The sequence below is a fragment of the Homo sapiens genome, chromosome 1 (assembly GCF_000001405.40).
Source record: "Homo sapiens chromosome 1, GRCh38.p14 Primary Assembly".
In the NCBI taxonomy this organism is placed as follows: domain Eukaryota; kingdom Metazoa; phylum Chordata; class Mammalia; order Primates; family Hominidae; genus Homo; species Homo sapiens.
Window position 1 is genome coordinate 175411323 of NC_000001.11, and position 14498 is coordinate 175425820.

Below are 14498 nucleotides of genomic sequence, written 5' to 3' on the forward strand. Positions count from 1 at the left end.
ATTGAGGTCTTCTCTTTCCTGATACTTTATAAATTCTTGGTCTTAGTGGGTTTTGAGGAGCTAACCCACTATAATATGGCATTAGTTCCCTAGGGTTGCTGTAACAAATAATCACAAACTGAGTGGCTTAAAACGACAGAACTATATTCTCTCATAGTTCTGGTGGCAGAAGTCCAAAGTCAGGCATCAGCAGGGTTGATTCTTCCCTAGGTCTCTGAGAGAGAATCTGCCCCATGCCCCTCTCCCAGCTGCTGGTGGCTGCTAGCATCCCATGCCATTCCTCTGCTTGTAGGTGCATCACTCCCGTCTGTGCCTCTGTCTGTGCACTGTATTCTCCTTGTTTCTTCATATAGTTGTCTTCTTAAAAGTACAGCAGTCACAATGGATTAGAGGAACCACTCTACTCCAGTATGATCTCATCTTAACTTCATTACTTATATCTGCAATGACCCTATTTCCAAATAAGGTTACATTCTGAGGTTCTGGGGTTAGGACTTCAACACGTCTTCTTTGGAAAGCGGGGACACAATTCAGCCCATAACAAATACTAGTAGTAATTGGGTCAAGCTAAGCATTTTCCTTGTATTATTTTATTTATTTCTCACAGCAACCTATAAGCTACAGAAGAGTGATATTTAGGAGTCAAGATATTTAGCGATTGTTATGGTTTGGGCTGCAACCAATCAGAATGGGGCATCAGTCAATCAGACTTGCTGCAGACAACCAGCAGGGCCCTATGGTGATTTTCCTGTGATGGTAGGTCCTCTTTCTATCTCCATTATTTAAGATGAAGAAAATCAATCTCAGGAAAGGCCAAAGGATTTGACCAAGATTGCAGTTAATGGGCAGATGAGCCAAGACTGAACCCAGATTTTGCTGACCATGGTCTGTGCTCTTAGTGGCTGTTTTCCAGCCAGCTTTAATTAGGGTCTTCATACTAATTTCATGAAAAGACTTAGAGCTCTTACAAGTCAACACTCTTCTCCCCCTGGGTTCAGATTTAGGACTTCCTGACAGGGATGACTTTGAGATTAATGTTTTCTCCACCAATCCAAGAGATCTCCCCAGAAATTGCTTCAGTCTCTCCTCCTTGAGAGGAGGCTTGTTTGATGGCTCTTTATTTAAAAGTCTCCAGCCTCTATAGTGTCCCCCAAATCAGGAGCAATTGTAACCCAGTAAACCTTGATCCTAGAGGAGCTGGGTGACATTTTCTAAACTTGTCATTTTTCCAGAACAATTCTCCACCGAGCCAGCAGTTACAGAAACCCATGGCCTTTCATGGACTCCCTCTGGCTTCATTCACTTCTCTGAGATCCCCCAATGTGTCCCGCACTCCAGCTCCACCCAAGGGATGGATGATAATCCATCCCTTGTCACACCACCATCAACCTCTCTGCTTCTCTCCTGTGCTGCTTTTCTAGGGGAAGGCAGAGAAAGAAGATAGAATGAATGGCATGAGGTGCTCCACTTTTCTCACTTTCTCTGAGCCCTGCTGAAGGGGGAAGTGAAACTAATGTTTATTAAATGCCTGCTTAATCAATGTGCCTGTAGTGTTGCTAAGCTCATGTCACTTAATTATTTCAAAGTGGCTTTCTTTCTTGTGTCCCTGAAAACTTCACTTCTGGCTTTATTCTCTACTGCCACCTCCCATTCTTCTGTATTGCAAAGAATGCTGACTGTTCTGCAGGTGGCCTGTCTTTGGCACTTTTTTCTTTTTTTTTGAGTCAGAGTCTCACTCTGTCAGCCAGGCTGGAGTGCAGTGGCACGATCTCTGCTCACTGCAACCTCCATCTCCCAGGCTCAAGCAATTCTCCTGCCTCAGCCTCCCAAGTAGCTGGGATTATAGGCGTGTGCCACCATGCCCAGCTAATTTTTGTATTTTTAGTAGATATGGGGTTTCACCATGTTGGCCAGGCTGATCTCGAACTCCTGACCTCAGGTAATCCACCTGCCTCGGCCTCCCAAAGTGTTGGGATTACAGGCATGAGCCACCGCGCTCAGCCTCTTTGGCACTTTTTAGTGATGCTGTCGGGCAGATTTTGCAGCTTGCCATGAGGAAGGCGTGGCCTAATGCTGTGGCATGTCTGGAAGTGCTGCATTGGATATGTTCATCTCCTTTAGAGAGGTCCCACTTGTTCTGGGACCCATTCTGTGTCTTTGGTATGAGGCAGTGGGTAATGTTTAAACCACATGCAAAACCTGTCTCCAAAGGCAACAACTTAGAAGGCTCGAGGGGACTAGCAGAGCCTCCTCTCTGCCCTTCACTCTCTTCCTGTATCTCAGATGAGTCAAAGAGACTAGAATGAGTAAGAGTCCAGGACTAGAACCAAAATAGACCAGTTAAAGAGATAAAATGGTGGATAGGAGAAGCAGGATGCCATGGTCTGAATGTTTGTGTCCCTCCAAAATTCATATGCTGAAATTCCCAAGAGGATGGCATTAGGAGGTAAGGGCTTTGGGAGGTGATTAAGTCATGATGGCAAAACCCTCATGAATGGGATTAGTGCCCTTATAAAAGACGTAGAGAGAGTTGGGCACAGTGGTTCATGCCTGTAATCTCAGCACTTTGAGAGGCCAAGGCAGGTGTATTGCTTGAGCCCAGGAGTTTGAGACCAGCCTGGGCAACATGGCGAAACCATGCCTTTACAAAAATTACAAAAATTAGCCATGCATGGTGGTGTGTGTCTGTAGCCCCAGCTACTTGGGAGGCTGAGGTGGGAAGGTCACTTGAGGCTGCAGTGAGCTGAGATTGTGCCAGTGCACTCCATCCTGGGTGATAAGAGTAAGATCCTATCTCAAAATAAAAGAGAGGTAAGGATACTCCTTACCTGGGACTTCCCAGCTTCTAGAATGGTGAGAAATAAATTTCTTTTGCTCATAAGCCACCCAGTTTACGGTATTTTCTTTTAGCAGCCCAAGTGGACTAAGACAGGGGAAAAAGAGGGAAAAACAGAGAAGGAAGAAAAAAAAAAGAGAAGGTGGAGGAGAAAAAAAATGGAAGAGTGCCAGGCTGGTGGAGAAACAAATAAGAGTTTCGCAGGTGGACTGTGAAAATATAAACCTGAGGGATGGATAATACACCCAAGGCTCAACGATACACTAACAGTTGTGAGCAAGACAGATGGTTAATGACCCTACAAATGGGAGTGCAAGAGAGTTGCAGTAATTCGATAGATTGATACTCAAGAGATCCGTGCATTTCCATTGATTCATGTCCTCCACTCCAGCTTCCTTATCAATATAATTATCATGGCCAGCACCAGAGGTGTCTCCGGGTAATTTGTAAGAGGTGGATAGCAAGATTGTCCTCAAGGCTGATTTAGTGCCTTGTTAATGAGGTGCTCACTCCCCTCTAGGGAGGCCTGTGGGGAGAGACTTGGGTCACCCAGGTTGGCTGAAGCTTGTGTCCCACCTAAAGTTGTTTTTCTTTTCCTCTTCCTCCCCCACATGACCTCCTCTGACTTTTGAGGGACTGGGAGGAAGGACTGGGAAGGTGAGGAGGAAAAGAAGTAGCTAGAAGGTATCCACATGCCTTTGAGCTTTTTTCTTTTCTTTTTCTTTTTTTCCCAGAGTCAAAATGGGGTGGAAAATACCAACATGGGCCAGTGGGGCCTCAGGGCAAAAAAAAAAAAAGGTGCAGGAGGGAGAATGAAATGAGCGTGAAGGTTGTTGGGCAGGGAAGGAGAAGTGACCTCCTGGGGTTGGGTGGCTGGTGCTCGATTTGGATTTTCCAGCTTCTGCCATTTGTGGTCCCCACTCCGTCCTTAGGGGTGATTTATAAACCAGAACTATATCTGTGGAAAATGACACTCTTTTTTTGTGCTTTTTTTTTTTTTTTTGTTAGAATTCGTTTAAAAATAGTTTCCTCCCTGCCGTTGGGATGCTCTGTCACTTGGAGAAAGAGGGTAATTATGAAAGACGAGGGTGTAATGTGATTACAGCCGGCCCCATTGTGTCAGTGGAGGCAGCGCTGGGCTGCTGGGAGAACTCGGAGCCAGCTCCTCTCCATCAGCGCTGGGCCTTTATTGGGCCTGTCAGATTTCTGAAAAGAACCCGAGGGCAGAAAACTCCCAGCAGACAGGACTCCATGGCTGGCCCAGAGCTGTCAACAAGGACATGGAATGGTGTGGGAGGATGTGCTGGGCCAGCCTGGGTGCTGCCTCCCACTAGGCGCGGCTGCCCAACGCCCCTGACCACGTGCTGTTTGATGTATCCCCATGTGGGAATCTGCAGGAAGGGTCTTTGGTTCAGAACCTAATGGATCCACACTCATTTTTCAGCACATGCGGTCAGCCCAGCATGTTCGTGGCTTCGTGTCAGTGTGGATTAGGAGAAACCTCAGTGGGTGGTATATGGGACCCAGCTTCTGGTCTTGTCCTGGGGTTCTGCCTTGTACTACCTGGGAGAACTCTAATTGACATTACCTTTCACAGAGACACTCTTTCATCTGGAGAATGGGATCTTGAGTATCAATCAAGGGAATGATACCAGCGGAGTAATGAAAATATCATGATTGGAAGTGAAGATTGGAAGTGAAGGTGAGGTCAGCTAGTTTGGGGTACCCACTTACAATACAACTGGCAAGGCTGGGCAAATCTTACTGCTGGGGGTGGGGGCGCCTATTTCTTTTTAGGCAGCTGTTGATAGAAAGTCTGTCTTGTAACTTTAGCTTTTAAATTTTATGATGCATGGACTAGGTTTCCCTATGATAAATAGAAACCTAATTTAAGTGAGAATTTATTTGATTTTTATAGGCTACAGAGAATTCTTAACATCTGTAAAGCTTCTGACAATTATATATATATATACACACACACACACTATATATATAAAACACATATACAAACACACAGACACACATACACACATAAACATATTGTATATGATCCCATTTAATCCTCACAAGAATTGATGAGATTATTCCCATTTTATAGATGAGGGTATGGGAATGATTTGCCCAAGACACACAGTAAGTTAGAGCCAGACTAAGTCCTGAATCACATTTCTAGGCTCTCAGTTCAGTAGTAGACACCATAGCCTCCCTTCAGCAGCTGCCTCTATCCTTGGGAAGTAGGTAGGATATAAATAATGAATTCCTAATTAATCTACACCATTTTGGTCAGAAATTCTCCTAAGCACCTGACCTTTTGCTATCATTAATGTCTATTTTTCATCTGTGTTTCTTGAGCTTGGAGAACAGCATGTCACCATTCACTGTTCAATTATTCTTCTTGAAGAGTCATATTACCTTTCATCTTTTTCTTCTCTACATTTAATACAACTGCAAAGAAAGTTTCTTTGCAAGAAAGTTTGCCAGCCAGACTGTAGCCCAAGTTGATGGTTTCTGTTTCCTGCCCACACTCCTTAGAACAGATTGAGAAATTGGTTTGAAATATAAGAAGTGGGCCGGGTGCGGTGGCTCACGCCTGTAATCCCAGCACTTTGGGAGGCCAAGACGGGCGGATCACGACGTCAGGAGATCGAGACTGTCCTGGTTAACACCGGGAAACCCCGTCTCTACTAAAAATACAAAAAATTAGCCAGGCGTGGTGGCAGGCGCCTGTAGTCCCAGCTACTCGGGAGGCTGAGGCAGGAGAATGGCGTGAACCCGGGAGGCGGAGCTTGCAGTGAGCCAAGATTGCGCCACTGCACTCCAGCCTGGGCTACAGAGCGAGACTCCATCTCAAAAAAAGAAAGAAAGAAAGAAAGAAAGAAAGAAAGAAAGAAAGAAAGAAAGAAAGAAAGAAAGAAAGAAATCTAAGAAGTGGTCTCTTCCCTCATGGGGCTTATAATCTAGTTGAGAAGACTAGGCTAATACACACGAAACTGAAGAACAAGGCAAGCCAGTCCATTTTTATGTATTGAATTAACATTACTAATTTAAAATTAGTGTTTTAAAGGTGAGCAGAGATGAGTGTGGGAGACGTGACTGGAGAAGGCTTTGTGAAGAGATGGTATCCGAGTCCAGATGGAGGGGGATGGTGGAGGGTGGAGAGGAGTTGTGGGCAGTGGGTGGGAGAGGGGGCGGCAAAGGGTATAGAATCAACAAAGTTAACTGGAGCCCCCAGGCCAAATGAAAGGAAGTATGGCTGCTGAAGGGACCATCTTCAGTCTTCATGAAGGCTTAAAGTTGATTAACAGTGAAAATAATACATACACACTTGGTGTGTGCCTGTTAGATAAGGGACTGGTCGCATATTAACGTATTAGCAGATGGACCACTGGATATCAAGCTCTGGAAACACTACTAATATGTGCTAAACATGGGCTCAGAACTTCCAAGTAATTATAACTGTAAATGTAGGAACTGATTGCTTGCTTTTTTTTTTCTTAGAACATTGAAACCCTTTAGAAACAAACAAATCTTAGGAATAGTCACCTTTGAAAATTGTACTCATCCACATCCAGAATACCAGATAAATTTATCTGCCCTAAAAATATCAAATGACAGATTCAAATATCAAATTCATGCTGTTTCCAATTATATAGCATAACTATATTGGAGTTGATCCTTCCAGCAGGAAGCAAATAATTGCTTTCATATATTGGATAGCCATTCGTTTCTTCAGATTACTTGTGTGCTAGAAGTGGCAATGTATTAAAGTTCAGCTCTAGTGGTCTAAATGAGTTATTTACTTCATTGTGTACATTATGTCTTTTAGAGCATTAAATAGCACCGCCCTGACCCAAAGACTACAAGCAGGTGAATTATACCTTCTAGTGCATGAAATAACATAATTATTTTCTACCTGAAATTTGAGGAAGCTCTGAGAGTACTGGTATATGGAGCAAAACCTGCTTAATTAAATTCAGTTACACACTGATTGCATGCCAGGAACAGGACTAGGTTCCATTCTAGATGTTGAGGTCAGGATAGAGAAGTCTCAGGCGACCCCCTGTGTGACTAGGAGAAAGATATTCATATAACAAGCATAAATAGCAGGACATGAGAAGTACCATACCAGAGGTATGGGAACTTCTTCTGGGAGTCCAGCAGAAGGAGGCATTTCAACTGCAAGACTTCTCTAGAGAAAGACTAATGGAAAAGATGGCTTTTGAGCTGGGTCTTGAAGAATGAGAAAGATTTTGAAAGGAGGAGGCAATGGAAAAGGCAGTTGAGGCCGGGCGGAGTGGCTCATGCTTGTAATCCCAACATTTTGGGAGGCCAAGGCAGATGGATCACGAGGTCAGGAGATTGAGACCATTCTGGCCAACATGGCAAAACCCCACCTCTACTAAGAATACAAAAATTAGTTGGGCGTGGTGGCACACGCCTGTAATCCCAGCTACTCAGGAGGCTGAGGCATGAGAGAATTGCTTGAACCCGGGAGGCGGAGGTTGCAGTGAGCCGAGATTGTGCCGCTGCACTCCAGCCTGGTGACAGAGCGAGAGAGAGAGAGAAAAAAAAAAAAAGGCAGTTGAAGCAGAGTAGAGAATGAGGGGAGTCATGTTTGTAGAAGGGCTTGGTTCCTGGGATAGTACAATGTAGGGGTGATTGTATTCAGGGATGAAGTGTACTAAGAAGATGTCAGAGATCCCTGACTGGCATTTTTAGAAATTTGCTTTGTATCTGTGTGCTTGTTGAGCCAGCAATGTTTTCAAAGCAGGGCATAACATGATTAAGAGGCCCTTTGATGTCTGCAGTTGCAATTGGCCCCAAAGATGAATTTCAACCTGAAAAACATAAAAGATTTTTTTCTTATCGCTTATCTTATTTTGCAGTTATTTAGTCAGTAAGGCTCAGATTAGCCTTCCTCATTACTTTGGAGAATGGTTCTTCAGGGTACATAATTTCTTAAATCCCCTTTCTCTCACTTTCTTGACAAAATGCATTTTGCTCTCCATTAAGTTATACTGCATCATCTTTGTTCATTATTGTTAAAAGGGGTGCCAATGGAATTCAAATGTTCTTTTATTAACTGCTAAATTTAGGATATATATTGTAAAATATTGGACTTTTAAATGTGTTCAATCTGAATAAAGACAAGAATTGACCATTTAGCTACATGCAGCTGCCTTTCTGACAGCGTAAGAATACAGATGGCACTGACTGGGCTCTGAGGGATGTTGATAAACAGAGCACGTTTTGAGGGTTCCCAAAGTTCGTGTGGGATCCATATAGGTTATTAAAAAAACCCACTAAGGGGATGCAGAACATTTCAGGGGGCTTGGGGTTTATATCTGAAATAACTTGTGCATGGTGTCCAATTCCTCTGTGGCACGATCTCGGCTCACTGCAACCTCCGCCTCCCGGGTTCAAGCAATTCTCGTGCCTCAGCCTCCCAAGTAGTTAGGACTGCAAGTGCCCACCACCACGCCCGGCTAATTTTTATATTTTTAGTAGAGAAGGGGTTTCACCATGTTGGCCAAGCTGGTCTCAAACTCCTGACCTCAGGTGATCCACCGACCTCAGCCTCCCAAAGTGCTGAAATTACAAGTGTGAGCCACCGCACCTGGCCCCAGTCCCCTTTTACTGGAGTTCTTCTTCCTTCAGCACAACTTCCCTTTCTCCCTCAGCCTTTGCAGTGCACTGCTGTGTGGGACTCCTTCTCTTGGCACACACACTCCTTGGAACTCTTAATTTGCCGCTCCAGAGCTTCACTCTTTCCCAGCAGGCTACCTTGCCCTGGAGCTTCCCATTCTGCCGAAGGGGAGCTCCACCCAGAGAGGCGTGGTGTGGAGGAGAGTCAGGCCCTCGCTGCCTCCCTGGGAGGCTGCCTCGGGCTGGCTGTGCCCCTTGGCTGAAGGGCACTGCTTCTCTCAAGGTGACCTTCTCTACACCACTGAGCAGACTCTATTTCCAGGTTTTGGTAGCCTCTCACCCACATCTCTCACCTCTTTGGGGCTCAACTTCAACGAGACCTGACCACCTGGACACAGTTCCCTCACTGACCAACCCGTGGCTGTCCTGTGCCTGTCCCTGCAGGTACCCACAGGAATCTGACTTCCTGGAGGGGCTGTTTAATCCAGATGTTTCTTCCTGTCCCCAAGTCTATTTAAAACTTACTTTCCTCTGTGACTCATTCCCTCCGTAGTCAAATGCCAAAGTGATACAAGATACAGCATTGGCAATAAATTAATGCCTTCTGAAAACCTATTTGGAAACAGGTAAGCCTTATACCATAAATAACAGTGACATTTTCATTTTAACAACAGCCTTCAACTAACCTAACAGTGGACTTGGTTCAGTGTGGCTTCATGCTGTAGCAGAGAAGAAGATTTATTGCCTGTAAAAGATTTCAACATTTTTTCTCACATTGATCTTCCTACCTTTCCCCTTTTGAAAAGCACTAAAATGAGTCAGAATAACAGAACACCTGGTATTTGTAGAGCTCATCTGAGTTTTCAAGGTGCTTTCATAATCACGACTGATTCCTCTACCAATTCTGTAAAGCATGTAAGGTGGGCGTATTGCTCCACTTTACAGATGAGTAAACTAAGGCTCAATCCTATGGATAACAAGCCATGAAGTTGGTAGTAAAGAAGTGCTCTGAGGGTAATGTATGCTATCTCTGAGAAATTCACAGTGTAAAAAGGAATCCAGCTCACATTTTCTTTAGTTTGGTTTTCTCATAGGGAGATTGGAAAAATACAGTGACATTTAAAAAAATAATAAAGGTGCAGGTTTATTTAATTATTTATCTTTGTGTTTCAGGAAGAATACGCTCTCTGAATTTTTTTTTAAAGTTTCAGCCTTCTACTTTCTCTGCTTTCTGGACACTTATAGTTGCCTTAGTGAGCAGCTAGCTGAGGTGGGGGTGTGGGAGCTCACCAACATTGACTCCAAGCAGCAGAGCTGGACATGGGTTGAGTCTGCAGCTGAGGGCGAGATGAGAGTGAGTGAAGTCAAAGCCAGTCATTGCGGAGGGAAACTTTGCTGTTTCTCTCTATGGATTTACTCAACAATTCTCCTTCTCCAGGACTGGATCACCAGGCCCCATGAGGCTCTCAGATTTCCCTAGCAACAACTCAACACTTGATTCTTTCCTTGGAGTACTTAATAGGAAAACCTATTGCTTTGATCCTAGTTTGCATTATCAAACAGGATTGCTGCAGGGAAATCATTATAAAAGCATTCCCCTGCTCCCCTGCTGAGCAAGACACTAGTTCTATTCACTAAATAGAAAGCCCAAAGCAGGTGAGCTATTTCCTAAAAGAATGGTTTTGATTATTTTCCATGTTATATTCATCAGGGGCTGTTAGAAGATAATTATAAGATAGTCAGTGACGTGTCTTTCTACCATTCTAGAATATTATACCTTCATTAGTCTAGACCCACAAATGTGTCTAGAATGATCCAAACTTTTTATCTGTAAGATAAGTCTACAGTATTAAGTCAACAAGGAATATTTATTGCCTTTCTCCAAAATAACAAGATCTCTGGGCTCTTCCTACATGACCAAAAACGTGGGACTGGTGGCTAGGTTTGCCCAAACCAGCTGCATTTGATTAGGAAGGGAACATACCCACCAGCTTCAAGCTAAACTGATCAGATATGATTATATGCCCCAGAGCTTGTGCATTCTGCCCTGTCCCAATATGCATGTGGGGTTGTGCCATGAAGGAAAGGAAAGGAAGGGCTTTCTTAGACTGACATGTGCATTGTCCAGGCACATGCCAACCAATCTTCTAAGGGCTTCATATATTACCTCATTTCATCCTCACAGCAGTCATATCACATCATTACTATCCCATTTTACAGATGCAGCAATTGAAGAAATTGAGGTACAGAGTGGTTAAGTGACTTGTCTAAAAGTCACAAAGCCTTTAGGTGAGGGCACCAGGATTCAAAGTTAAGCAGCCTGATTCCATAGTCTTTGAATGTCAAGAGCTGTATGCAGTTGATTGGGAAGTCTTCTTATAAGAATTTGTGACAATCATCTCCCTCTCTGAGCTCCAGCAGAACTTGTTTTTACACTTATCACAATAGTTATCTGCAGAGCTGTTTGTTTTCCCCCTGGAGGGTCCCTAGAGGGCAGAGTCTATAATCTAGTTATCTTTTATCGCAGCATTCAGCATAGAGCCCAAAGTCTAATAGGTCCTCTCTCTCTCTTTCAATACATATACACACACGTGATGTGGTTCCAGCCATCCTTACCTACCCAGGTGTCCTGCATATTTCCACAAATTGGTCTTTCCTGCTTCCCAAGCTTCTGGAATTTTTCTCTCTGCAGTGCTATCTGGGAGAACTGCTGCTGGGAGTGTGTGGGGTGGCCCCGAGAGGGCTGGGACCCACTGTCATGCTAGCCATTGGCCCAGTTTATTGTTTGGGTAACAAATTTCCTGCCTACCCACTTTGCAGCCTCTCTCACTGATAGCTCCAGGATTGTAGGTCTCCCCCCTAACCCCAGTTTCTCTTGATTACAGCTGCCTGTCACATTGTTTCTTATTATTGACCTTGGTACCTGTCAGACCATCCACACTCCCCAATTGTCTTTCCCTGCCACATGTCCATCTTCACTGAGAAACTGGTTTCCTGGATTACACAGGCCCTATTTGTCTCTCATAGGTGCACCTGCTTCTCAGAAATGGAGTGATCTTTGGCCTTCTTTGTCCTTGGACTTGATGAGGTGGTTGGCTGTGAGCTAGGTCATAGGTACTCCTCTCCAGGGGTCTCCATCAGGGAGATTCTAGAGAAGGGTCATTGCCTGGTGAACAGGTCACCTGCTTTGGAGACACAATGCCTATCTGTCTCTCGTGCCACTTCCATTCTCGGGCTTTATGAGCTTGAGCAAGTCGTGTGACTGCTCCAAGTTTCAATTTTCAGATCTGTGAAGTGAGGACTATTTATAGTGAGAATGAAATATATGCAATAGCATTTCATAAGCTACAAAGTGGCACATAATTGATGGGAAGGTATCAGTATTGTTAATACATCAAATATAAAGAAGCACCTGGTGTTCATTTCCTCATGGGCCAGAGGTTCATTATGGGCCATCCAGCTGTGGGGTCTTCTTTCCTCCTCCATCTTCCTCAGCCTCAGCCTTAGCAGGGGTGCAAGTGGGAGGGTGGGTCATCACTGGGTGCTAAATTAATTGTTGAACTGAGCAGAATTGAGGATGCTTGGGTGACTCTGAGTGACAAATCCCATGGTGGCATTTGTGGTGCATCTTCTTGACCCAGGGTATAGATGAGTACAATTGCTTCATGCAGATGATCAGTGACTCCCAGGGAATGGTCAACCCTGCTTTCCAGAGTGGGGCTGACTAGGATGTGAATCGAGATCTCAATCCCCTAGGATCCATGAGGATTCCTAAAATATTTCTTGGTTTTTCCTGTGTTGTGTGGTCCCTGAAACTAGACCCTAAGAAACCAGAGGGGATTCAGGGGTTGGAACAATCCACCTGGATACAGCAGCTGGACCTGAAGCTTCAGAGGCAAGCATCACAGTCCAAGGTCAAGGCAGGCTGGCCTGAGCAGGGCTGGAGCATGGGGCTGCGGAACTAGGGTGGATAAAGCCACATAATAGGGTGCAGCTAGGGTCAACTGAAACTCACAGAGCTGGATTAGCACTACTAGGGTCAGAGCCAGAAGGAGAGGAGGCACTCAACAGAACCAGGTATGAATCCCACGAGTTCCAGGGGTCTGGATGTGAGTGTGCCAGCCAAAAGCTATGGGCCTTGGGGGTTAGAATCCCTGCACCAAGGCCCTAAAGATAAATCAGTAAGTCTATATTGAAAAAAAAGTTTTTTTCTGATTAGAAAATCTATACATATTTATTATAGAATAACTAGAACATACAGAAAGATTGTATTTTTAATTACTGATTTTGGTGGGGTTTTTTCCACTTTTTAATCTGTGTTAATTTCCATAATTGAGATTGCACCCTATTTCGAATGAATACTTTAAACCAACAAGTCCTTGGTCTTGCTATCTCCGGGGAAGCACTGCCCAATGACTGTGCCCCAACTCGGGCAGGCCCAGAAGACAGGTCTAAGGTTGACTTCAGTCTGCATTGGAAGCCGGGCTGCATTGTCAAGCAAGTCAGACATGCCTGGCCTGGCCAGGCAGTGGTGGGAGCTGGGCAGTTCCCAACAAGGGAAAAGCTTCTGTATTTTCCCCTCTGCCCTGGCACCAAGCACACATCTCTGTCAGTGGAGGAGCCTTGGTAAGTGTTGACGAGGTGACCAGCTTCCTCTCCATTAACAGGTGTGCAGAATTGTGTCTAAACCCCACAGCTCTTGTAGGGGGCATTTTGTTTGGTCCTGATTAGAATAATGAACTGGGCTGATTAGAGAAAGTCCTGTGGGAGGGAAAGGTCTGCTCTCCCTGACTCTGGGGTTTCTGACCAATCTGAACAGCAGGGCCCTTGGGCCAGTGGACCTGAAGGTTGGGGGAAGAGAAATGTCAGCAAGGATGGGAGTTACAGGACTGGAGGCCCAGCAGACAGGCTACATAGGGATGCAAACCCCCTGCTTCCCATTCTCTACCCAGCACCAGCCAGTTGCCGCCAGAGTATCAGAAGCTTCAAAGTGGGCTGGAACGGACAGTGGCCAAGTGTGAGTGGAGCACAGTAACCACTGGCTTCTGTCTGGAGCACGTGCTCAGAAAGAGCTTCAGATACTTGGAAACTAAGCAAAAAATATCAAGCTGAAGACCCTGGAGGGTGACTCAAGCCAGAGGGCTCTAGTAGTGTTGTATCTGTCAGCAGACCTGGGGGGCCTGGGGAGGATGGGTTCTTGCCCTCTAGAGAGATTCTTGGAGTAATTCTCACCCGAAACACTATAAGCAGACCTCAAGGCTCAGATTTGTGGATGCTATTTTGGGCTTATGAAACCACTGTCGAAGACCTTATATTAAGAATACTTGAAGTAGAAGACAAGACTGTGCCATAGGTGTGGAGCTTGGGAATCATACAGCTCTGGATTAGCACTACTAGGGTCAGAGCCAGAAGGAGAGGAGGCACTCAACAGAATCTAGTCTGGAATCTAGTCTGAGTGTACTAGCTGTGGCAGTGTGCAAGCAATGTATTTTCTCTGAGCTTCTGTTTTCTCATCTGTAACATGGAGATACTTAATAATGGCATTGATCTCACAGGGTGGTTTTAAGCACTTAATATATAATAGATATTAAGTATTTAACATAAGGCCTAGCACAAAATAAGTGCCCTAAAAAAAGTATTAGTCTGACTGATAGTGTTTTCTGAGGTGCCATGTGGAACTCAAGGTGAATGAGCTCTTACCATCAGAAGTGTATGATATGACTCTCCTGGGTAATTCATAAGCATGGGATGGAATTGGTTTTTATAAAAATCTATGATGTCAGTTCCTGGAGCAGTGTCCTCCGAAGCTGAGAAAATGGCCTTAATTGACCACCACTGAGCAGGGTAAAATGGCAGCTGGGAGCAATGGGATCTGTTTGCACCCTTTCGCTCCACACATTTTCCCCTGGCACTGCTGCACTTGAATTTGCAAAGAGTAGCATTTTTTTTTCAACATTTCTATAGGCTGGGCCTGGGAACATAGGGTCCATCAGGCCCTTCTTCTCTAAGCAGTGAG

General features: G+C 44.8%; 1 protein-coding gene across 2 annotated transcripts in view, besides 2 other annotated features; it reads right to left on the reverse strand.

Moving 5' to 3' along the window:
• TNR (tenascin R) overlaps positions 1–14498 on the reverse strand; it is a 428402-nt gene that overhangs the window by 96129 nt on the left and 317775 nt on the right. The window lies entirely within an intron of this gene.
• Positions 1585–1634: an enhancer, noted in NCBI's record as "active region_2137". NCBI's record gives its function as "activates an Ori minimal core promoter by ATAC-STARR-seq in GM12878 lymphoblastoid cells {active_cell/tissue: GM12878}" and the evidence as "EXISTENCE:reporter gene assay evidence [ECO:0000049][PMID:35858748]".
• Positions 2125–2224: a silencer, noted in NCBI's record as "silent region_1568". NCBI's record gives its function as "represses an Ori minimal core promoter by ATAC-STARR-seq in GM12878 lymphoblastoid cells {active_cell/tissue: GM12878}" and the evidence as "EXISTENCE:reporter gene assay evidence [ECO:0000049][PMID:35858748]".